The sequence below is a fragment of the Homo sapiens genome, chromosome 8 (genome assembly GCF_000001405.40).
Source record: "Homo sapiens chromosome 8, GRCh38.p14 Primary Assembly".
Classification (NCBI taxonomy): domain Eukaryota; kingdom Metazoa; phylum Chordata; class Mammalia; order Primates; family Hominidae; genus Homo; species Homo sapiens.
In genome coordinates, this window is record NC_000008.11 from 56,479,554 (window position 1) to 56,504,911 (window position 25,358).

Genomic DNA, 25,358 nt, shown 5'->3' on the forward strand with positions numbered 1-25,358 from the left:
TGAGGCCTCCCCAGAAGCAGAAGCCTGTACAGCCTGCAGAACTGTGAAGTGATTAAACTTCTTTTCTTTATAAATTACCCAGTCTCAGGTATGTCTTTATAGCAGTGAGAACAGACTAATACCAGGAATTTGAGGTGGCAGTGAGCTATGATCACACCACCGCACTCCAGCCTGGGCAACAGAGACCCCGTCTCTAAGCAAAGTAAATGAATAAATAAAAACAAACAAAAAATAAAATAAATTGGTTAGGATGATGAATTATATATATATATTTTTGCCACAACTACAAATTTTAAAAAAGAAATCGTGTTCAAATTGGAGATCATAAAGATGTTTATCTCTATTTTCTTATGGTAGTTTTAATTTTTGACTTGTGTACTTAGGGCTTTAATCTACCTAGATTTCACTTTTGAATATGGTATGTTTGTTACAGTCCTATTTATTGCATAGTCCATCCTCCTTCAGTTACTTGTGGATCTGGTTTTCATCTCTTTACTTCCTCATTAGTCTGTTATATAGCTCTGTGCTGGAGTCATACCTCCTTAATTACTATAGCCTTATAACAAAGTCTTGATTTTTGATAGGGCAAGTCCGTCCTTATTGTTCTTCTCTTTCAAAAAAATTATCTTGACTATGTCTTCTATGAGAGTTTTAATAAGGGCTTATGAAGTTTAACATAAAAATCTTATTTGGGTTTTGATTGTCATTCCATTTAACTGGGGTGCAGTGCAAAATTTATGGTATTGAGTTTCTTATTCAAGGGCATAATATATCTCTCAATTTATTTAAAATTTCTTTAATGTCTTTCCATAAAGTTTTGTAAATTTTTAAATACAGACCTTGGACATCTTTTTATATTGATTTCTATCTTTAATTGTTTTGTTGCTATTGTGAATAAAAGCCTTCTTTATTATAGTAGTTTTACTGGTTGGTTCAAATTTTTAAGAAAGCTATTGATTTTGGTATGCTGATTTTGTATAGAACAATCTTTTTGGACTCTTCTATTAGTGGTCATATTTGATGTATAAATTCTATTAAAACTTCCATATATTACATGAGAACAATGAGAATTTGTTTTTCTTTTCTAATCCTTATAACTTTATTTTCTTGTCTTGTACAATGTCACTATATCCAATATATAGAAGTGGTGCATGTAAGTAGTGATAATAGCCCGATAAGTCTTATTCTTGACTTTTAAGGGAGACTTTTAACACTCCATGGCTTATTATTATGTTTGCTGTAAGTTTTGGTGCTCTTTTTCAGGTTAAAGGAGTTCCCTTCCATTTCCTCATTAACCCACTTATGCCCAGTGTTCCATTATTGGAACCCTAAGCATGTGGGAGTTATTTATATCCTACTACTCAAGGTTATCACCAAGGTCTGATTTTTTCACTTGTGCAAAAATTCAAAAAATTGCAACCTCCAGCATAAATGGGTTAATATTATTTTTCTAGTCATGACAGGAGTTTAACATATTCATAGGCCTTTTCTGAATTCCAAGTTTGATTGTATTGTTTTTATTTTTTAGTCTATTAATGAGGGGAATTTTATTACTAGGTCTTTTTAATAGAAAGGCCTTTCAATTTCACACACATATACACATACGTACACACATATGTATCACACACAGTGCTAGGTTCAGTTTATTAATATTTTTCATAATTTTCATATCTATGTTTATAAATAATATTAGTCCATTTTTCACTTCTATTTTTAATAAATAAATTGGTAGATTTCTTTGAAACAATTTTTGCAAGGTAGTGATTATTTGTTCTTCGTACATTTGGTAAAATTTTCATGTAAAACCTACTGGGCTTGGAATTTTGGGGGATACATTTGGCTACTGTTTAATTTTATTTAATAATTTAAAGGGTAACACAGAGTCAGCAATTCACTTTTGTTTGTGAAAGGAAGAGCTTTTAGCCTTTTATCAGTGACAAAGGAAAAAACCAGGATGTATAAGAGAAAAAAAGAAGAAAAAGGAAGGAAAGGAGCGAAAGAAAAGAAGAGGAAGAAAGAAGAGAAAAAACTAGGCAGTTTGGGAACAGTGAGTCTTGTTTTTTATTTTTGGGATAAACACACTGAATAACTTGTAGCTAACACCACAAAACAAGGCCAAAACTTTGGGAGTTTAGTTGTTGAATATACTTGACAGGCTATCTCTGAATAAAGTCTGCATAATATCCTTCTGTTGGCACCTTCGCTTTAGTTAGACAGGATCTGCACTGTTTTACTCAAAAAAAATTTTCTTAGTTTCTCCTTTTTCAGTCAAAAGAATTTCCCAAAGGAGCAAATTTCACTTTAAGAATGTTTAGTCTCTGTGATGCAGAATCATCAGTTAGAAGTTTACTGGATATTAGACATGAGAAGAAGGAAAACCCACAGAATAAAAATCATAAAAGTTATGAAAAATATTTTGAAGATATTTTGTATTCATTGTTTTTTTTTTGAGACAGGGTCTGCTCTGTCACCCAGGCTGAAGGGGCAGTGGCGCCATCACAGCTCATTGCCGCCTTGACCTCCTGGGTTCCAACAATCCTCCTACCTCTGCCTCCCAAGTAGTTGGGACTATAGGAGCATGGCACCACACCCAGCTAATTTATAAATTTTTTGTAGAGATGTGGTCTTGCTATGTTACCCAGGCTGGTCTCAAACTCCTGGGCTCAAGCAACCCTCCCACATTGGCCACCCAGAGTACTGGAATTATAGGCAAGAGCCACTGCACCTGGCCTACATTCATTTTAAAAACTACTTTCTGCCTAATAAGCAGAGTAAGTCTCAATAATTAGTCTGATCAACTTCAGTTAACAAAGTGACCTTTTCACCTCTAATTGATTGATTATTTTTGTTTACCCATCTATTCATCTATTAAAAATTAATTATTACACACATTTCATAGTGGCTGCTTAACAATCAAGGATAATTGTATTACCTAGGGCTATTTTAGTTAACAATTTCATGATAATCTTTAAAATTTTGGTTTTTTAAATAATTAAATTTTGTTATTTAAGCCATAAGCAAGTTAGAAATTACACACTCTACTTTAGTAACTAGTTTAACTAGAGTAGAAATCCTTTTACAAACCAGTGAAATCCAATGTCAATGTCTTAGATCCCTCCCTAAAATTGTCATGTCTGATTTCTCATAAGATCTAATTAGGAGGTTTCTTTAGAATATTTGGAAAGGTCAAATGAATGTATCCAAAATAGATGTCTAAATTTAGTTTGTCTGATTTTGGAGGGAGACAATCATAGCTAGAATTAAAATATTATATAGTGATTATTGCATTGCTTTAGGAGAAAATAATTAAACTGAAGTTTCTGTCAGTATGCCTATGTCCCTTTCTTTTGTGGTATTCCTTGGATTCCTGTAAAGCTTTGAAAGTATCAGTGGCAGCAGGTAATTGTTGGGCATGTTGCCATGTGCCTGTAGTCCCAACTACTTGGGAGTTGGAGGTGGGTGGATTGTTTGAACCCAGGAGGTCAAGCCTGCAGTGAGTTGTGACAGTGCCATTGCACCTCCAGCCTGGGTGACAGAGCCGGACCCTGTCTCATACATGTATGAGGGTTAATATTTTATAGGGTACTTTGAGGCCAGTTATCAAATTTAACATTTTATAGGTGTGGTGGTGAGAAAAGATTTAAAGAGGACTATTATGAAAGAAAAGAAGAGAATGAGGAGATGCATAATATGGTAAAAATGCAAAGGTAAGTCTGATGGTCCATCAAGGATTTCAGTCTGAAGGTTTTGGGAGGAAGCTCTCTACTCAGGAAGACACCTTCTTAATCCATAGAATTTTGAAAGGAATCTGTCTACTTTAACATATGACCTGCTTCTAGGGATCTTTTCATGAGCCTCAGGGTCAGATCTTCATTTGTACTTGATGCCCAGGCTATGGAATTCAAAGAATATTTGCATTAGGGCACATGTATCTGTAGATGTGTGTCCTGAAGCTTAAGGACAACATTTGTAATTAGGAGAACCTGAAGCAGTTCTTTCCAATGGGGCGTCAAGTCTCACTTTCGATACTCTTTTAACGTACTCAATCTTCCAGATGTACATCTTTCATGAGATGTAGATCTGGTGGCTGTTATCATTAGCGCAGGAAGTGAACTTGAGGACCTTAATATTTTTATTTTAATATATCATGATCTTAGTTTGTTTTCCCAGAGCTTTAAGGAAGTTTCTGTTTATGGCTGAGTAGTATTCCATGGTGTATATTTTTAATCATTGGAGAGTATTGAATATATTCTCCACTTGGAAGGACAATATTGACATATTCATATTGTCATTAATGTATGTTAATATTTTCTTTCCAAGTGGGGAAAGTATTAACATATTTTGTGTGTGTAAATGAGCTTTAGTGTTTTGGTAAGGAAAGAGTTTGAGTTAAACCAGGACATTTACACATTATTATTAATGCATATTTAAACTTTGAAGCAACTGAATGAAATTCACTTGTAAATGCACAAATGATCAATGGAGTAGGGTCCTAAGTCTTGCCCTACCTTTGCAGTTTTTCCTTAATTATGGAAGTATTGGGTTACTCATTGTGTTTCTTGGGGAACATTTTTCATCCCAATGTTTTTGAAAAGTTTCATCCAATTTTCTCTGTCACATAGATTAGTTTTTGTTAGATAACAATGAGAGGTCGGAGATTGGCTTTGGGTGACTTCATGTGGCACAATTTTTGAGATAGCATTTTTTTTTTTGAGACGGAATTTTGCTCTTATCATCCAGGCTGGAGTGCAATGGTGCAATCTCAGCTCTCTGCAACCTCCACCTCCCGGGTTCAAGCGATTCTCCTGCCTCAGCCTCCCGAGTAGCTGGAATTACAGGTGTGCGCCACTACGCCTGGCTAATTTTTGTATTATTAGTAGAGACAGGGTCTCACCATGTTGTCCACACTGGTCTCAAACTCCTGACCTCAGGTGATCCACCTGCCTCAGCCTCTCAAAAGTGCTGGGTTTGAAGGTGTGAGCCACCATGCCCGGCCATATCTTTTCTTTTTTATATAAACAGCCAGCTATGTTTAAATATCGTTTTATTATTCAGAAATCAGAGCAAACAACGAATGGTTTTATAGTATTAATTATGATTAAAACAGTAAAGACAGTTTAGCAAATAGGTGGAAAATTTTCTTTAGTTTTAAGAGTATATTTTAAAGGCTGGGTGCGGTGGCTCACGCCTGTAATCCCAGCACTTTGGGAGGCCAAGGCAGGCGGATCACGAGGTCAGGAGATCAAGACCATCCTGGCTAACACGGTGAAACTCCGTCTCTACTAAAAATACAAAAATTAGCCGGGCACGGTGGCAGCCTGTAGTCCCATCTACTCGGGAGGCTGAGGCAGGAGAATGGCATGAACCCGGGAGGCAGAGCTTGCAGTGAGCCGACATCCTGCCACTGCACTCCAGCCTGGGTGACAGAGCAGGACTCCGTCTCAAAAAAAAAAAAAAAAAAAAAGTATATTTTTAGACATCCACTTCCCAGAAGATAAAGTAGATGTACTTTTTCCTATTCCTTCTGCTAAATACACCTAAAGACTCTGGACTATAAATAAAACAATATAAAAGAAGGATTCTTAGAGGTGGAGAGAAGAACGCAGGTTAGTTAGGGACCTTCAGATCTGAGAATAATGTGATGATGAGTTCTCTGGATTTTCTTTTTATTTCATATATCTCAGACTTGGAGCCAAATAACTCAGCAACGCAGAAACACCAAATCACTCAGACCTCCCCACCACCCAACTCCCCAAGAAAAACTCCAAGAAAAAAAAGCTTGTTCTTTGTAGCCAAAAGACCAAGAAAGGGGTAGCTTAGGAAGAAGACTTTTTGACAATTGCTATTCTACTCTAGTCAAAAAACCACAGAAAACCTAGTCCCCACCCCACCCGAACACAAGCAAAGGCTGAGTGGAGAGCTTAGACTTCCACCTTCCTGAAGTTGCAATAAGGTATCCTTAAACCTCTGCCAGGTGGTTTCTGAGAAAGTTAAGTGGGGAGCAAAGACTTTCTTCTTGTTGGCAGGTATCAAGAGTTCCCCACACCAAAGTGTCAGTAGAGATATTCTGTAGAAAGCCTAGACTTTCACCTCCATCCAGCAGTAAAGAGGCGTTCCACTTTCTCACCGCTGTGGTAGTATCAGAGGAAGCTGAGTAGAAAGTCAGTACTTTCAACATTGCCTAACAGTATTGGGGTCACCTCAATATGTGTCAGTGAAGACCCTGTGGGGACCATGAACTCCCATGCCTGCCCAGCACTTATGAGGAGCTCCTCCCCTTAGGTGTCAGCTGAGACCAAATGGAGAGTCTGGACTTTTCTTACTCCATCTAGCAGTAGCAAGGCAGTTCCTCCCCTTGCCCTGTTGGAGTGGTGTCAGAGATGGTGAGCTAAAGCAGAGTTTAAATAAGATCTGGCATCTCAAAACATAATACAAAAATGTCAGGTTTCAACAGAAAGTTACTCGTTTTACCAAGAACCAGGAACATCTGAAACTAAATGAAAAAAAAAAATCAACAGATGCCAACTTCAAGATGACAGAGATTTTAAAATAATCTGAAAAAGATTTTAAATAGCAATGATAAAAATAGCTTAATGAGAATTTACAGAAACAATGGAAACAAATGAGAAAAATAGAAAGCCTTAGCAAGTATGCTAGTTTGCTAGGGCTACCATAGCAAAGTACCACAAATCAAGTGGCAATAGGTTTTAGAGTTTAGAAGCTAGAGATCCAAGATCAAGGTATCATCATGGTTGATTTCTTCTGAGGGCTTTGAGGGAGGGTCTGTTCCAGGCCTCTCTCTCTCCTAGCTTGGGGTGGTTTGCTGGCAGTCTTTGGTGTTCCTTGATTTGTAGGCAAATCACCGTGATATTTGCTTTCATGTTCACATAGCTTTCTCCCAATGTTCATGTCTGTGTCCAAATTTTATCTTTTTATAAGAACACTGGCTATATTGGATTAGGGACCCAACCTACTCTGGTATGACCTTATCTTAATTAATTACATTTGCAAGAACTCTATTTCTAACTAAGGCATGTTCTGAGAGACTGGTGGTTAGGACTTTAGCCTATGAATTTCTGAGAGACACAATTTTAACCCATAACAGCAAGAAAACAGAAAGCTTCTTCAAAGAAATAGAATATATAAAGAATAACCAAATATAAATATTAGAACTGAAAAATATAATCATTAAAATAAAAGCTAAGTGGATAGACTCAACAGCCAGTTGGGGGAACAGAGAAAATAATCACTGAACTGGAAGATAAAATAATATAAATCACTCAACTTAAATAACACAGAAAAATAGACTAAAAAGAAATGAACAGAGCCTCAGGGGGCTCTGTTTTGGGACTATAACAAACTACCCAACTGTCATGGCATTGGAGTCCCAGAAGGAGACGTAAAAGAGGGTGGGGGCTGAACATTTTCTAAATTTGGCGTCAGATGTAATCCTAGATTCAAGAAGCTGACTGAATCCAAACCAGATAAACCTAAATAAATCACCAAAACACATCATAGTTAAACTTATAAAAACTAAAGACAAAGGTCTTAAAAGCAGAAACAGAGAAATGATACCTAACCGTATAAGAAAACAACAATACAATTACAGAGGATTTCTCATCAGAAACCATGAAGGCCAGAGGTAGTGTCACAATATTTTTCAAAAGTTAAAAAAGATACCTGTCAGCCTAGAGTCCTATAGCTGGTGAATATATCATGAAATAAACAGGAAATTAGGACATTCTCAGATAAAGGAAAAGACAATTTGTTGCCAGAAGATCTATCCTGAAGAATGCTGAAGGAATTTCTTTAAATAAAAAGGAAATGATAAAAGAAGGAACTTTGGAACATCAGCAAGGAAGAAAGAAAAATACAGTCAAAAATATAAATGAAAACAATAATAGGCTTTCTTTCTCTACTAGACTTCTAAATTATGTCTGACAGTTGAAGCAAAAGTTATAACATTGCCTGATGTGGTTCTAAATATGTGTAGAGAAAATATTTAAGAAATATATTATAAATGAGGGATGATAAAGGAACACAAAAGGAGATAAGATTTTGATATTTCATTTGATGAAACCACATTATATCACATTTTTGTACACACACATATGTATGAATATACTTACACACATATATAAATATATATGTAAATACTTAAAACAACTATTGAAAAAAGTTATTCAGAGATAGACTCCAAAACACTGTAGATAAATCAAAATGGAATTCTAAAATATGTCTAAGTAGCCCACAGAAAGGCATTAAAAAATAAGAAAATAGAGAAAAATAGAAAAAAAAAAGCACACATAAGCCCTAAAATATTTTAATAGCCCTATAACTGTTAAGGAAATTACACTCATAATTTAAAAACTTCCCCGCAAAAGAAAGCTCCAGACCCAGAAAGGCCTACTGGGAAATTTTCTAAGATGTTTAAAGAAGAATTAACCCCAGCTCAGTATAATCTCTTAACTACACTAAATGTAAATGATCTAAATATACCAACTAAAGGATAGAGATGGATAAAATGAGTTTAAATCACAATCCTTCTATATGCTATCTGCAAGAAGCTCAATTAAGATTCAATGATATAATCAAGTTGAAACTAAAAGGAAGGAAACGGTTATATCATGCAAAAATTTTTAAAGGAAATCAAGACTAGCTCTGTTGATATCAGATGAAGTAGACTTCAGGGCAAAGAATATTATCAAAGACATAGAGAGATGTTATATAATGAAAAAGAATCAACTTACCCAGCAGGTATAGCAATACTAAATGTATATACACCAAAAAACAGAGTTGCAAAATGTGTGAAGCAAAAACTGAAGGATCTAAAAGGATAATTAGACAAATCCACAAGTATAGTTGGAGACTATTGTTACAGTTGGAAATATCACTACAGACATTAAAATATCCAAAAAAATGAGATATTACTAAAGACTCTACACATAAATGTAACAACTTAGATGAAATGGACCTTTGAAAAACACAACTTACTAGAACTCATCCAATGTAAAACATAATTTGAATAGCCCTATAAGTATTAAGGAAATTACATCTATAATTGAAAAACTCCCCCAAAAAGAACTTTCCAGACCCAGATAAGTTCACTAGAAAATTCTCCAAAATGTTTAAGGAAGAATTAACACCAGGTTTATACAATCTCTCCCAGAAAATAAAAGAGAGAATACTGCTTAACTCATTTTATGAAGTTAGTGTTACCTTGACACAAAAAACAGAAATAGACAGTAGACACACACACAGACACCCAGCCACCCCAGAACATACAGATTCACAAATAAAAAGACAAAAATCTTAAACTAACATTAACAAATAGAAGTCAACAATATTTAAAAAGATTGTACCCTGATACGGTTTAGATATTTGTTCCCTCCAAACCTCATGTTGAACTGTGATCTCCAATGCTGGAGATAGGGCCTAGTGGGAATTGTTTAGGTCATAGTGGGGGATTCCTCATAATGACTTGATGCCATGCCCTTGGTGATGAGTGAGTTCTCACTCTATTAGTTCATGCAATAGTTGGTTATTTATAAAAGTATGGCACCTCTTCCCTCTCTCTCTCTTGCTCTTCTTGCCATGTGACACCTCGCCCTTCACCTTCTGCCATGAGTAAAACTTCCTGGGGCCTTACCAGAAATCAAGCAGATACTGGCACTATGCTTGTAGAGCCCGCAAAACTGTGAGCCAAATAAACCTCTTTTCCTTATAAGTTACGCAGTTTCAGGATTTATTTATTTATTTATGTTGTTGTTGGTGGTGGTGTTTTTGAGACAGGGTCTCATTCTCTCACCAAGACTGGAGTGCAGGGGCACGATCATGGCTCACTGCAGCCTTGACTGCTGGGCTCAAGTAATCCTCTCACCTGAGTAGCTGGGACCACAGGGTGTGAGCCACAACACCTGGCCAGTTTTTTAATTTTTTGTAGAGATGGGGTCTCCTTATGTTGCCCAGGCTGGTCTTGAATTCCTGGGCCCAAGTGATCTGCCCATCTCAATCTCCCAAAGTGCTGGGACTAAAGGCATGCGCCATTGCCCCTGGCCTCAGGTATCACTTTATAGCAATGCAAAACAGACACCATCACCAAGTGGTGTTTATTCCAGAGATGCAAATCTGGTTAATTATTCAAAAATCAATTAATATCACTGGACATGGTGGCACATGTCTGTATTTCCAGCTACTTGGGAGGCTGAGGCAAGAGGGTCACTTGAGCCTGGCAGTTTGAGGCCAGCCTTGGCAACATAGTGAGACCCTGTCTCTAAGAATAAAATTTAAAAAGTCAATCAATGTAATTCACCATATTAACAGACTAAAGATGAAAAATCTCATCATCATATCAATTGACTCAGAAAAGTATCTGACGATATTCAACATCCATTAATGATAAAAATTTTCTGAAAATTAAGAGTAGGAGGGACTTCCTCAATTTCATAGAGAGCATCTACAGAAAACCTACACCTAACATTATACTTTCCCTTTAAGATTGGGCAAAGGCAAAGATGTCTACTTTTTTTTGAATGTAGGTTTTTATTAAATGGTATGCATCTGTGACAAGATCCCTGAGCAAATAGGCCAATGTATGTTCAAAATACTTTCTTTTTAAGATTTTCCAGGCTCTGAAATGCAGCATTTTTTAAAGTGCAGGTCACTGGTAGTCCACCTGAAGATACCCACTCTTAGCACTCTTATTCAACATAATGTTGGAAGTTCTAGCAAATGCAATAAGGCAATACAAAGCAAACATGCGCACAGATTAGAAAGAAAGAAAATGATCCCTATTTGCAGATGACATGGAAAATCCCAAAGAATATACAACAAACCCCTATGGTTATGGAAATATTTTGTATCTTGACTGCATGCTAATATCCTGATTGTGACATTGTACTATAGATTTGCAAAATGTTACCATTGGAAGAAACTGGATAAAGGTTATATTGACTCTTTCTTATTATTTCTTAGAAATGCATGTGAATCTATAATTGTCTGAAAATAAAAATAATTAGTTAATTGAAAAGTATATCTTTAAAGTAGGTGTTAAGGCTGGGTGCGGTAGCTCACACCTATAACCCCAGCACTTTGAGAGGCCGAGGAGGGCAGATTGCTTGAGCTCAGGAGTTTGAGACCAGCCTGGGCAATATGGTGAAACCCCATCTCTACAGAAAATACAAAAATTAGTTGGGCATGGTGGTGCACGCCTGTAATTCCAGCTACCTGGGAGGCTGAGGCAGGAGAATCACTTCAGCCTGGGAGGTAAAGGTTGCAGTGAGCAGAGATCACGCCACTGCACTCCAGCCTGGGTGACAGAGGGAGATCCTGCCTCAAAAAAAAAAAAAAAAAAAAAGTTTTTAATCTAAATAACTGAGTTTGGTTTTCTTTGGATGTTAGATTATCTCCAATAGGTAGCTCTTAATTTATTTTAGAATTTTCAGTGGAGAGGCACATGAATAAGTTAGAAAACTCCTTTGTTTCCATAGCATGCTGAAATCATGGATAATTCCAAAAGCAAAATATATTAGTGGTATATTTACTCTTAAATATCTGGGGAGGTGCTATGTTCATATTGAGTTATCTCAGTAGAATTAGAGCAGAATATTTTATATTAAAATACTTATAAATTATAACATATAAGTACAAAGAATATCTTTTTCTTAAGCTCTGAATCATCTCTAAATATTATATTAGGATTTTCATCAGAGTTGAACATCAGTCAAAAGAGAAAGAGAAATACTTAGAGTGTGAACAACTCTTAGATTTCGGCAGAGATTTTCTCTTATTAGCAAGAGAGAAAAAAGGAGCCTGACTTATGTTAGCACAGTTTTTAACAGGTATATAGGAAGAAGACAATAAAACAGGAGACTCAGGCTGGGTGCGGTGGCTCATGCCTGTAATCCCAGCACTTTGGGAGGCTAAGGCAGGTGGATCACAAGGTCAAGAGATCGAGACCATCCTGGCCAACATGGTGAAACCCAGTCTCTACTAAAAATACAAAAATTAGCTGGGCATGGTGGCACATGCCTATAGTCCCAGCTACTTGGGAGGGTGAGGCAGGAAAATTGCTTGAACCAGGGAGTTGGAGGAGGTTGCAGTGAGCTGAGATCGTGCCACTGCACTCCAGCCTGGCGACAGAGCGAGACTCCATCTTAAACAAAACAAAACAAAACAAAGCAAGAAACAGGAGACTCAGATATCCTGTATCCATTGAGAAAATTATCATTACTGTGAATCTTTTTTCTCTAGTGGCGATTGGACTTTTCTGTAACTTGGTATTCTGCAGTTTGTTTTATTTGCTTGCTCAGGACTTAAGGTGCTTCTTTAATATGAAGAAATATATTTCTTTAATTTTGTAAAAATTTCAGTTATTATACATTTGAATACTGCCACTTCCCACCCACCTTGTTCTTTACTTCTGGAACTTCGATTTATGTGTGTTGAGCCTCTAATTCCATAGAGTATTTGCGAAGTCAGAAATGTAACATATACTCATTTAACATGATCTCGGGTTCATCGAGGAATAATTTATACACAGTAAAGTGTTCTCTTTAGGTGCTCTGTTCGATGAGTTTTGACAAATGTATGCGCTCATGTGAGTGCTAAAAAGATGTAGAATATTCCTATACTCAGATAATTTCGCTAATGCACCTTTGTATTTAATCCCCTTCCCCCACATCCAGTCCCTGGAAATCACTGATCTGATTTCTGTCCCTATAGTTTTACCTGTTCTAGAAGGTCATATAAATGAAATCATAGAGGATATAGCTGTTATTTGGCTTCTTTCACTCAGTGTAATGCTTTTGAGATTCACGTAGATTGTGGCATGCATCTGTAGTTCATTCTTTTTATTGCCGAGTAGTGTTCCATAGCATGAGTGTATCACGGTTTGTTGATCCATACTAGTGGTGGACATTTTAGTTGTTTCTGTTGTTGGCAATTTTGAATAAAGTTGCCACAAACATTTACCTATGGGTGTTTTTATATCTCTTGGGTAAACACCTGGGAGTAGAGTTGCAGGGCTGTTATGGTAACATCTTAGGTGTGGGATTGCTTATGGGTACGATAAGAAACAAACAGCTTTCCAGTCATTGTACCATTCCATTCTTATCAGCAGTGTATGAGAGTTCTAGCTGCTGTGCATTCTTGCTAGCACGTCGTACTGTTAGTTTTAAATTTTAAAAAAGTTCTTTGGTAAAGTGTCTGTTTAAATCTCTTGTCAATTTAAAAATTGAGTTTTGTGCCTTTTTATTATTAAATTGAGTTCTTTATAATTTAAATGCATGTCCTTTACTAGGTGTATGTTTTGCAAATATTTTCTCCCCGTCTGTGACTTCTCTTTTCATTTTCTTTACAGTATTTTTCAAGAGCATACTTTTTTATTTTTAAGAAGTCTAATTTAGCAGTTTTTTTCTTCTATGTTTTGTGCTTTTTGTTTCCTAAGTCATCTTTGCCTAACCCAAACTGATAAACAGGCCGTAGGGGAGGTGTCAGTGTTCCCGGAACAACGATTATATTCATTTATTGGCTTGAGGCTTTCAGGTAAGGAAGATAGTGTAATTTCAAAACTGCACTTGGTGCAGATCTACAGATGCGTTTGTCTCAACATTAAGGCCTGGATACATAACAACATTTCTTGCTGCTTCCCAAGGCTAGTGGTGGGCAGCCTCTGTGTGTGTGTGTGTGTGTGTGTGTGTGTGTGTGTGTGTGTGTGTCTGCGAAGGCATAGAGCTCCTTCTCCTTAGTGCAGGCTTGTAGCAATATTCCCTCTCTCTGCGTGAGTGTCAGAATCCTCATATCTGACCCTAAAGTCCCCGCCCCCACTGCCCTGGTAGGATTAGCTTCCCTCTATTGTACAGACTTTTCTTTTCTTTCATTCTTAATACTTGACAACTGGACATTTCTGTGTATTTTAAGCTTCAAGATATATTTGGAAATACTTTTTATACTTATGTCATCCAGTATTTTATGTTTGTAGCAGGTAGAGGCCCTCCTTACAATAGGTGATCCACCATATTGCCAAAAATTCTCTCTTTTTTTTTTTTCATGATCAAGTAGGGTTTATTTTTTTAAATGCAGGGATAGTTCAACATTATAAAATTTACTAATGAAATTCTTTAAATTAAATCACTTGAAAGAATGTGTGTATATTAATATGTGTTATATAAATGTATTAATAATTCTGTTTATACATTTTAATAACATAATCATTTCTCCTCTGCATAACCTAGAAATAAAATCTACTTAAGCTGAAAAAGATTTATCCCTGAAACTTATAACGATTAAACCTTTTTAATGATGAAATGTCAAAGCATTTATTTATTTATTTATTTATTTATTTATTATTATTATTATACTTTAAGTTTTAGGGTACATGTGCACAATGTGCAGGTTAGTTATATAGGTATACATGTGCCATGCTGGTGTGCTGCACCCATTAACTCGTCATTTAGCATTAGGTATATCTCCTAATGCTATCCCTCCCCCCTCCCCCCACCCCACAACAGTCCCCAGAGTGTGATGTTCCACTTCCTGTGTCCATGTGTTCTCATTGTTCAGTTCCCACCTATGAGTGAGAATATGTGGTGTTTGGTTTTTTGTTCTTGAGATAGTTTACTGAGAATGATGATTTCCAATTTCATCCATGTCCCTACAAAGGACATGAACTCATCTAGAACTAGAAATACCATTTGACCCAGCCATCCCATTACTGGGTATATACCCAAAGGACTATAAATCATGCTGCTATAAAGACACATGCACACATATGTTTATTGCAGCACTATTCACAATAGCAAGGACTTGGAACCAACCCAAATGTCCAACAATGATAGACTGGATTAAGAAAATGTGGCACATATACACCATGGAATACTATGCAGCCATAAGAAATTCTCTTCTTGAAGACTGTGTTTTCTGATTAAACCCGCCCTTACAATTTAGAATTTAGTCTCTTTTTTTTTACATTTATTTAGTTATCCTTCAAATGTTTTAAATCAAGTGCTGAATTGTTTTAAAAAAAATGGGAGATGGATCCTCTTTCTTGAAGCTTATAACTTTTATAAAATCCAAAGAAGTTGCTTTAAAAATTCCCCTCCCAGACAATTGCATCCCCCACCATCTAAGTCTCTGTTATTCAATTTTCAATTTCTCTTCCTGGTTACATAGTTTGTGCACTTTGGTTTTACTCATTAATTATACCTTTTTCTCCTTGACTTACCAGAATCATTAAATGACCACAGGATTTTCCCTATTACTGCATATTTAAAAATCTTCTTTTTCATCAAATAATAGTGTAGAATATCAGAATAACCTGCATATTTGCTGCATTATGCACTTGGAGATTTGTAGAGAACAGAACAATAATTTTTATTTGAGAACAGAAAAATAATTTTTTATTTCATGTATTTCCGGTTCTGTTTTAAGTCTGGAGTGATTATGTGGGAAGTATGAAACATGCCTCAACCCACAATGGTCTTACTACCCGATTGAAGAAGATAGGCTTTTAAAAGAAAAAATCTTATAATGCTGTAATATGAACAGCATGTAATGAAGTGCGGCAACATTGACTCATAAGTGCACAGAGGTGGGGACAGCCATGGAAGGATGAGAGGTTGGGTGAGGCTCTCCAGGGCCCTCAGAGCTCTAAAGACACTGAAAGATTTGGAATGACAAACAAAGAGAGACGCTGTTCTGACTGGGAAACAGCCTCAATAAAATACAGAGTACACATGGAATATGAGGGCTCCGTAAAGGGACCCTCATGTTCCCCACTTCAGTCACAGAAAGTAAACAACTCCCAATAAAACGTTTTCTGCAAATAAAATAACCAGTACTTCTCTTGAGGGGGTCCACAAGGAGCACTTTTACAGATGGATGAATTGGCAGCTATGTTTTGTTTGGTAAAACAGAAACCAGCAGGCAAACATCCTGATATTAACTCAGGAACATCTCCAGCCACAACATTTTCATTTGTTCTTACGTATTCTTAGACCAGATGAAGTGGATTTTTCCCTTACAAAGGAATTCGGAATGTATACTAAGGAAACCATTCCCTTCTGGGATCCAATCTAGTCCTTGTTTGGGAAACAAAATGTGAAACATATCCAGGTGGCTGAAAGAGAAGAGACATCCTGACAATACTCTTCAGAAGGCTCCCTGGATCCTCCCTTCCTCCACGTCATTTTACCAGCCCTTGAAAATGTACTTTTCTCCCAAATAAGGATACTTATATTCGCATTCTGTAAGCAGTCCTAGTCTTAGTGAGAGAAGGCATGCGCATACCATCCCAAGCATGCGCTGCAGAACAAGAGATCAGCGTGCTTCCCCTCAAAGGCCTATTCCCACGGGCCTTTCCCGTGTCCCCTCTTGTCACCACTACTCATATCTCTATATTTCACACCAAAGCCAGTGGAAGCCAATGGAAGTTCCACAGTCTGCCTAGATTCCGTAAGGGTCTGATCATCCAAGGGCAAGAACAAATTGCTGGCAAACAGTCACACACATGTTTGTAATCACTGACATTTGCACTGCTACAAATAAAGAATGCATTTCTCCTACACATGTACATTGAAGATGGTTAGGAAAATCTGTTTTGAGTTAAGCTTCTTTTCTTTGATATGCATTTCCAATTACTAAACCAATGCTGCTTTAATTTTGTTTGTAGGAAGCTGAACTGACACGAAACAAAAGAAGTCCGTTGTTTTGGATTGAGTTCCATACTTGGCTGGCCCAGAGGTTGATCTCACCACCATTCAGATATCCAAGAAGAAGCCACCTGTTGGATTTAAGAAAACCCAGTAAGATGTTGCTACTACGGTTTTTTTTGTATGTGTGTCTCTGCAGGTAGAAACCTAATTAGCCAATAAAATGTACTTTTGCATGAGAATTGAAGTAAACTTTGTCTCAAATATGAGGAACTATGTCAGTCATACAGCAATTGTATGGCAAGCCTAAAGGATGGTCAGCTTTAAACAAATTTCCACAGGTAGGCCCAGGTTTCCTGTCTCTTTTTTAGTGTATCTTTCTTGCTCACAAGTACCTTACTCTTTCATTAACTCCTTCATTCAAGTCTCCGGCTCTTAATCAGCTCCTTCTCTCACCTTCTTTGCCTGAGCATCTCTCCTATCATATTTTCCCATCTAGACCACACATCTGCCACTGGCCCCCTCATAACCACCATCTCACTAGCCGGGGTTGACTCAGCTCTATGCACAAGATATCTCTGACTAACTCCTTCCTATAAGCTGAGACTACCATCCATCAGCATATCTTGGACTTGGTTTCCTAATTTTGTTCTTCCACTTGCCTTTATTGCTCTTTTAATTCTATTCCAATGGTTTGTCTGGTGGATTGTTCTTTATTGCTACCCATACAGGATGAAGACATTAACACAGGAATAAATTTATTCAGCATTTTGCTCCCTGTTTATCCCCAGATAATTCTTCAGTATAGAGACAGGTTGGTATTTTTGGGGTACTGCCATCTGGGCCTCTGCCATCCATAAACAAGGGATGGGGGGTGTGGATGGAAAAAAGAAAAATGACTATGCTGATTTCTGAAAATTACTGAGATTGAGAAAACCAAGGTCTCACATGGAATAGTTGTGTTAGATCCCAAGCTGGATAGTAAGTCTTCAATATCGTTTCTCTGAAGTCATTTGGGTTTTAATAAGGTCAAAATAACCAGGACACTGAAATTGGTACTATTGCCATCAATAAAGAATAGACAGCATTTTTGGCTGTCATCATTAGCAGGAGGACAGATTGATGGTATTTTGTCCTAAAAGCTAAGGACCTTCCTACTTCTCACTCAAAATCTTTTCCTTAATTATATTTACCTGAATTGTTTTGTAGCTATTGGTCCTTATATTCTGTATTAGAAACTAAATAAATCTATTTCAATCTCTTAACTAAGATTTATAATAATACAAATTTATTTCTTAGTAGTCTATGTTTTGGTTCAGAGTGTACTGTTAGGAAGAAGACCTATTTGGAGGGTTGTTCTCTACCCATCTTTTTGGGAAAGCAGTATGGAAGAACACTGAACCATTAATCAGAAAGGAGACACAATTTCTTTTTCTTCAACTTGACAACCCAATTCTCAACTGCAAGGCAAGAGAAAAAAGTGAGGCACATCTGTTCCATCCCCTGCTGTCTATCTCTACCCTCTATTCTATAGGTTGAAATAAGAGAGGCTAGAAATAAGATGTTGATCTTCAATTATATTTTTCATTCATTCATTCATTCATTTCCCATGGGAAAGATTGAGGCCAAGCAGGTGAAACAAGGTGAAGAGGATGAATGGAAAAGAAAACATATACAATATTTAGCCTCCCAAAGTGGGGTGTGAGGCACTGGTGGAGACGAAACAGTGGGTTCTCAGCTTTGGACAGATAAATGCCTGAAGCTAGTGTCTGCCTTGAGATAGTTTTGCTCTTTACCTCTCTAAGTACAAATAGCAGATGACTCAAGTTTGAGCAGAGAAGTGGGCAGAAGTGTTTGTTCTCTGCCTCCAGATGTCTCCAGTGATTGTCTGGCAAGCCGCCACACAGGAAGACAATTGACTGAGTGGTACATATTCCTCATATTCTCGCATTTCTAAAAGTCCCAGTTTATTTATTTCTAGTAATTGGTTCTGTCGTTGACTGAAAAATATATATTATTAAAAAAAACTTTGTAGAAGACAGGCTTTGCACTTCTTTGCTTTTGTGCTTTAGAAAGCAAAGTGGTATTTTCTAAAACATTACTGGTTCCACCCAAACACTTTTTCTGGAGATACAATTAATTCAGGTTAACATAACTGAACAAATATCCATTGACTATTTGTCTGTAATATAGAAGAGGACTTCAAAAGGTTCTTGGAAAATGGAATTAAAAGATAGAGGCCAGGCATGGTGACTCATGCCTGTAATCCCAGCAGTTTGGGAGGCCGAGGCAGGAGGATCACCTGAGGTCAGGAGTTCAATACCAGCCTAACCAACATGGAGAAACTCTGTCTCTACTAAAAAATACAAAATTAGCTGGGCGTGGTGGCGCATGCCTGTAATCCCAGCTACTTAGGAGGCTGAGGCAGGAGAATCACTTGAACCCAGGAGGTGGAGGTTGCAGTGAGCCAAGATCGTGCCATTGTACTCCAGCCTTGGCAACAAGAGTGAAACTCCATCTCAAAAAAAAAAAAAAAAAGAAAGAAAGAAATAAACAATATAAACTTGATTTCTCAACATAAGCTCTATGTAGTTTAAGACACTTATGTAAGTGATGGTATCAGCCATTTTAGTCCATTCCTAAAAAACTGATGGGCCTGGGAATTTAACCATGTCAATGTAGTCTTTTTGACATTATTAACTGAAGAAAAATAAGTGCTCTTTAAAGATATTTTTAAGATTAGGAAACAAAAAGAAGTCAGAAAGTGCCAATCAGGACTGTAAGGCTGATGCCTAATCATTTCCCATTGAAATCCTCATAAAATTGCCCTTGTTTGATGAGAGGAATGGGCAGGAGTATGTCGAGGTAGAGAAGGATTCTCTGTTGAAGCTTTTCTGGGAATATGTCTGCTAAAGCATTGGCTAACTTTCTCAAAACACTTTCATAATTAGCAGATGTTATCATTCTTTGGTCTTCCAGAAAGTCAACAAGGAAAATGCCTTGAGCATCCCCCAAAAAACTGTTGTTATGACGTTTGCTCTTGACCGATCCACTTTTGCTTTGACTGGACCACTGCTAATTCTTGGTAGCCATTGCTTGGATTGTGTTTTGTCTTCAGGATCATACTTCAAACATAGTATAGCCATGTTTCATCTCCTGTGACGGTTGTTCAAAGAAATGTTTCAGGATCTTGATCCCACTTGTTTAAAATTTCCATTGAAAGCTCTGCTCTTGTCTGCAGCTGATCTGTCATGCAATGTTTTTGCACCCATAGAGTGGAACGTTTGTTCAACTTTAATTTTCAGTCAGAATTGTGTAAGATGAATCACTTGAGATATCTATGGTGTTGGCTATTGTTTCATTTTCTAATCATCTGTCCTCTTCAGTTTGGATATAAACAAGATGAATTTTTTCTGTCAAATCGATATGAATGGTCTGCTGTTGTGGGCTTCATTTTCAACATCATCTTGTCCCTTCTTAAAACGAGTTATCTATTTGTATACTGCTGATTTATTTGTGGCATTGTCCCCATAAACTTTTTGTAAAGCATCAGTGACTTCACCATTCTTCCACCCAAGCTTCACGATAAATTTGATGTTTGTTCTTCCATCAAGTTCAGCAGAATTCATGTTGCTCTGATAGGGATGCTTTTCAAACTGAGATCTTATTCTTCTTAATAACGCAAACTAGATCCTATTCATATATGTATAACAAGTTAGCACAAGTTTATTTCAGTGTAAACAAGTTTTGAAATCTTTGCATAGTTTTTTCATAATATGAATTTCCATGAACTTTTTGAAGAACCTAAATGATATGTGTGCTGTTATAAGCAGTTAGCAAGAATTTTAACCTGCAAATAAATATATTGAGGATTATATTTTCTGTGACAGAATAATTCTACTTCCTGTGTTTAGGAAATAACACAGTAAAAAATGTACTTTGATATATTTTCTATCTTTTTTGAACAAACAAAGAATTGTGATTTCAGTTTCATGTGTTTTTTTCTGAGGAGCTGTAACATGTCCTGGCAAGTGACAGTCTATAAAACATCTACTTAGATTTTACCTTCGTCTTTGAAATAATAGCCTGACCATGTTTCCAATCAACATGTCTGCAGTCAGTGCCAATTTTCCTTTGTACTATGTATCTTTTAATAAAAAGATATAGCACTAACACTTTTTTTAAATCACAAAACACCTCTACAAGGAAATGTACTAAAATATCTATACAAAAGAATATATGTAATATCTATGACTAAGAGCTATGAGCAGATCACTAAAAATCAAACTGGAGATAAAGCCAGAAAAATGCCCAAAGCCATTTGGAATTTTCTTTCATCTTAAGCTGCTTGTTGCATTCCTAGATGTGGTGGAATTTCCACCCAGTTTGTAACTTTCTATTCCCTGTTTCAACAACAAAATCTACATGCAGGCACATCTTTACAGAATTGTTAAACTGTATGCATTTGCACTCTCTTCCTCTTCAAACCCAAGTAGTACAATCTCAAATTCTGCATAGCATCATTAAAGTATTCTATAATTAAACCTATAATGATAGGTACATAAGAACAGGGAGTAAAAATCATAGATACAGCCAGGCATTGTGGCTCACACTTGTAAACTCAGCACTCTGGGAGGCTGAGGCAGGAGGATTACTTGAGGCCAAGAGTTCAAGACCGGCATACACAACATAGTGAGACCCTACTTCCATGAATTTTTTTTTTTAATTTTCCAGGCATGGTGACATGTGCCTATGGTCCCAGCTACTCAGGTGGCTGAAGCAGGAGGGTGGCTTGATCCCAGGAGGTTGAGGCTGCAGTGAGCCAAAATTGTGCCACTGCATTCCAACCTGGGCAACAGATTGATACTCTGTCTCTTAAAAAAAAATCATAGGTACTTCCAAAAAAATGTTAAATCAACTAAAAAAGCATCATGCAACTTTTACGAAAACTAACCTAGCTCCTTGCAGGCAAGATGATTGCAAAGATTTTCAGAAGTCTGATTATGGGTCACAAAAGAAGCGTGTCTCACACATAATCCTGTTCTGGGTGGTTAAGGAGGAAGGAAGTGTACTTCATCAGTGGAAGTAATAGAGAATGGAAAAATTATACGGTGGATGGTGCTGTGTGGCTTTGTGAACTACTTTGCTGCATTTTCCCTTGAGTGTGACAACATTTTTAATGTAACTGTGTCTTGCATCTTGCAGCACAAAACCCCTGAAAATGAATTTCTGATGGTTAAGAATGAGTCTCATGAGGAAATCAGGAAAATTTTTAAAAATATGATATGAATAGCTCTTACAATGGATCTTTAAAAAAATAAAATGTGTTTTGAAAGAAAGGTTTGTTTGGGCTTATCTCGCCACAGGACTGTCTGGGTTTCTACCCCCAGTGGAAAAGCGACGCCGCTCTGGCTTCCCGCCTCCTTTTGTTCTGTGGCAATCATCCATCCACGTCTGCAATGTGCCTACAGTTTCCAATCACACATTTCTTTCTTGCTGCCACTGTGGAGTTAAGGCATATGATAGCATTTGGAAGAAAATAAACATCCCTTGTAATAGGCCAATATGGCAAACCCTGGTGAGTGGGATCTATCAAAAGCAAACTTGGGTAATGATCAAGGGAGAAAATAAAACCTTTATTCTTGGCTGCTGAGAGTGGTGACTTCCAGCTAGGCTGTTCTTTCATTTTATTGTTAGGGTGAGTTCAAGTACACCTAACACCCCAAGGGGATCACTTCGTTGAAAGACTCTATACTTAAAAGAAGAAGAAATTCTAAAGTTATAAACATATCTAACTTGGAACCATCAGGGTATTCCATATTTTAGGGCATTTTCTTTTCAAGTTCTCCTTCAGTTCACATAAAAGCCCTACTTCTTTGTTTTTCTTGGCCAAAGGATGGGGCCCTGGACAAGAGTTCTGGAAAATCCTATGGAGGCCTTGGGAGCTTCCCCTCCTGGTGCTGGCAGCCGGCAGATGCCTGTGATGCTATCTATGCCTGTCAGTTTAATCTCACAGCACTGCCTAACAGGCACGACATCGTCCTAGAGTGTTTTTACTGGAACTGTTTTAATGACTGTGAATAATATTTTGAAAGACCCAACACCTGATCTTCTATTAGCAAACCTGGCTATTTTGCTTTTAAATGTCCAAAAGAGCCAATTATCCTGCAAATCTGATTCAAGTGTACCAGATTGAATTAGAGAAGTGCATATTTCAGGAAACTTCCCTTGCATTCCAAATCTGTCCAGTTGAGATAGGGTTTTTTGATAGAAAACATTTCCTTTTTTTTTTTTCAAACTGTGTCTCATTTCAGAATACTTACAATATCTCTCACCCTTGGTAACAGAGGGGAGGGGTTCATATGTTGACATCCAACTTCCTGAGAGGTGGTGAGAGACAAAATCTCCCCAACCTCCTTACCCAACTGTAATGATGAAAGATGTACAACAAAATGATGTCTTGTTTAATGTGGGATTTTATGTGCCACTGGAACATAGGCAACATCTAATGTGAAACGGCTTCTGCTTCAAACAGAGGGCCACTATTTTGCCCTCTGTTTACTATGTTGCCCAGGGTTGCCACAGTCTTGCTAGAGTTCCAAGCACGGTGGTTATCAGCAGAGATGGATGCCATTGTAAGGAGCCTGGAAATCCCAGGTGTAGGTACTGAATAAACAAGAAAGATATTGTAATAATCTCAGTTTTGAGGACAAGGGAAAGAAACAACCACTGAAGAATTTTGATAAGAGGTTTTTCTAGTCTTCACACCATTTTCAGGAATATTTCAGCAGGGTAGGACTTAGGGCCACTTATTCAGCCTCATGATTGGCCAGTTTCTGTCCATTCCTGCACCTTTTCTCCTCCTTCTCTTGTGGGTAGTTCTCTCCAGTTGCCTCTTCTCTTTGCATATCCAGGACATGCTGATAACATTAGTGTTTCTGCAAAGATATTGATTTTAACAGGGAAAGGAGATGGGGTCTGGCATATGGTAGATAATCAATGTTGGTTGACTAAATAAAAGCCAAACTTCATCTCCACTGACTTTATTACTACTTAAACTGAACATTTAAAAAAAGAATTAGTCTTGGACATGATGCAACATTATTGCTGAGCCAAACTTTTTTACTATCTTGGGTTTTACAGCCTTCTTGTCCTTCTGGTTAAGTGAGAGCAGGCAACTCCATCTGGCATGTAAAGAACTGGAAAAAATTTCTATGGATTTTTGTACCTGTTTATTTCTCCTTGTACATGTTGTAGCTACTGGTAGAATATTTGGATTTTTGCCAGTTTGTTAGAAGAGTAAATTTTACTTTACATTTACTTTTTATGAGCAAGATTGAGCATCTTGTTATATGTTTAAGTGTCATTTGTGTTTCTTTTTAAAATAATTTTTTATTGTTACCTCTCGCCCATTTTTTTCTATCAGGTTGTTGGTCTTTTCTCCACTTTTAGAAGCCTTTGTAAATTAAGGATATTAGTTAGCTCTTTGTGTTTGTTACATGTGGCAAATATACTTCTCTAGATTGTCATTTGTTTTATACTTTGCTACTGTAAATGTGTTTTAATTTCACAGAGCTAAATTTATCACTATTTCTCCTTGTTGCCTCTGTGTTTTGAATCATGATTAGGAATACTTATGCGTTTTCAGGTAATTAAGAAATTCATCTCTGTTTTCTTTTCATATTTGTGTGGTTTCATTTTTTACATTTCAATCTCTAAACTATTTTGAATTTCCCTGGTGTCTATTATAAGAAATATATCCTATATTATCACTTTTCACATTGCTATTGAGTTATCCCAATATTATTTGTCAAGAAGGCCATCCTTTCCCCATTGATTTGAAATTCTGCTTTTTTACATGCATTAAATTTCCACATACAACCATGCCTATTTCTGGATTTTCTATTTTATCACATTAGTTTGTCTGTGAACCAATATTATGCTATTTTTAATTATATAGACTTTATCATTCATACAGTAACAATAATTTGTAATGTCATTTTATACACAGTAGGAAAAGTTTCCCCCCACAACCAACCCACTGTGCTCCTTTCCTGGGGCTTTTGTAGTTATTATTGCTTGTTTGTTCTTCCAAATGAACTTTGTTACCACTTTCTCTAGCTTTAGAGATAAAAGACTGTTGATATTGTACTGAGATGGCATTAAGCTTGTTAATCAACTTAGGGATGATTTACATCTTTACGATAATGAGTTTTTCTGCCAAGGTATACTGCATGTCTTCCCATTTTCCACTAAGTAGGCTCTGTAGTTTTTAGGAGTGTTTTATGATTTTCCTCATATAGGCTTTATATACTTCTTAATCTTAGTGTTAAAGTTATGCCCAATGTTTTCTTTTCTAAATGTAAATAGAATCTTTCCCATTATAATTTCCCATTAATTTTCAATTGATTTTTGTTTTACATGTGAGAGCTATTTTTGAAAGTATCCATTTAAACTACTATAATAAATTATCTTATTGTTAATACTGGTTTTCCACTGATTTATTTTTTAGGGGGACGCTACGGATGTATAATTTTATCACATGCAAATACCTCTTTTTAATTCTTAGACTACTAATTGCTTCTCTTGTCTTATTACATTGGCCAAAATCATCAACATGATATTGAATAGTAGCTCTAGTGCATTTTAGAAAGCTATTCACAAAGAATAAAGTTGATTGCTTTGGGAACTTTTCCTCTTTTTTCTCAC

General features: G+C 36.8%; 2 long non-coding RNA genes across 2 annotated transcripts in view; one reads left to right on the top strand and one right to left on the bottom strand.

Moving 5' to 3' along the window:
* The window catches only part of PENK-AS1 (PENK antisense RNA 1), a 106,261-nt gene that overhangs the window by 33,747 nt on the left and 47,156 nt on the right, over positions 1 to 25,358 (top strand). The window contains exon 2 of the long non-coding RNA NR_125813.1: positions 16,670 to 16,802. This is a non-coding gene — a long non-coding RNA (PENK antisense RNA 1). The remainder of the gene's footprint in view (positions 1 to 16,669; positions 16,803 to 25,358) is intronic.
* LOC101929398 (uncharacterized) lies at positions 15,376 to 23,444 on the bottom strand. The gene is made up of 2 exons (XR_001745919.1): positions 22,973 to 23,444; positions 15,376 to 16,780 (listed from the first exon to the last, which is right to left on the bottom strand). It is a non-coding gene; the product is annotated as an uncharacterized LOC101929398 (long non-coding RNA).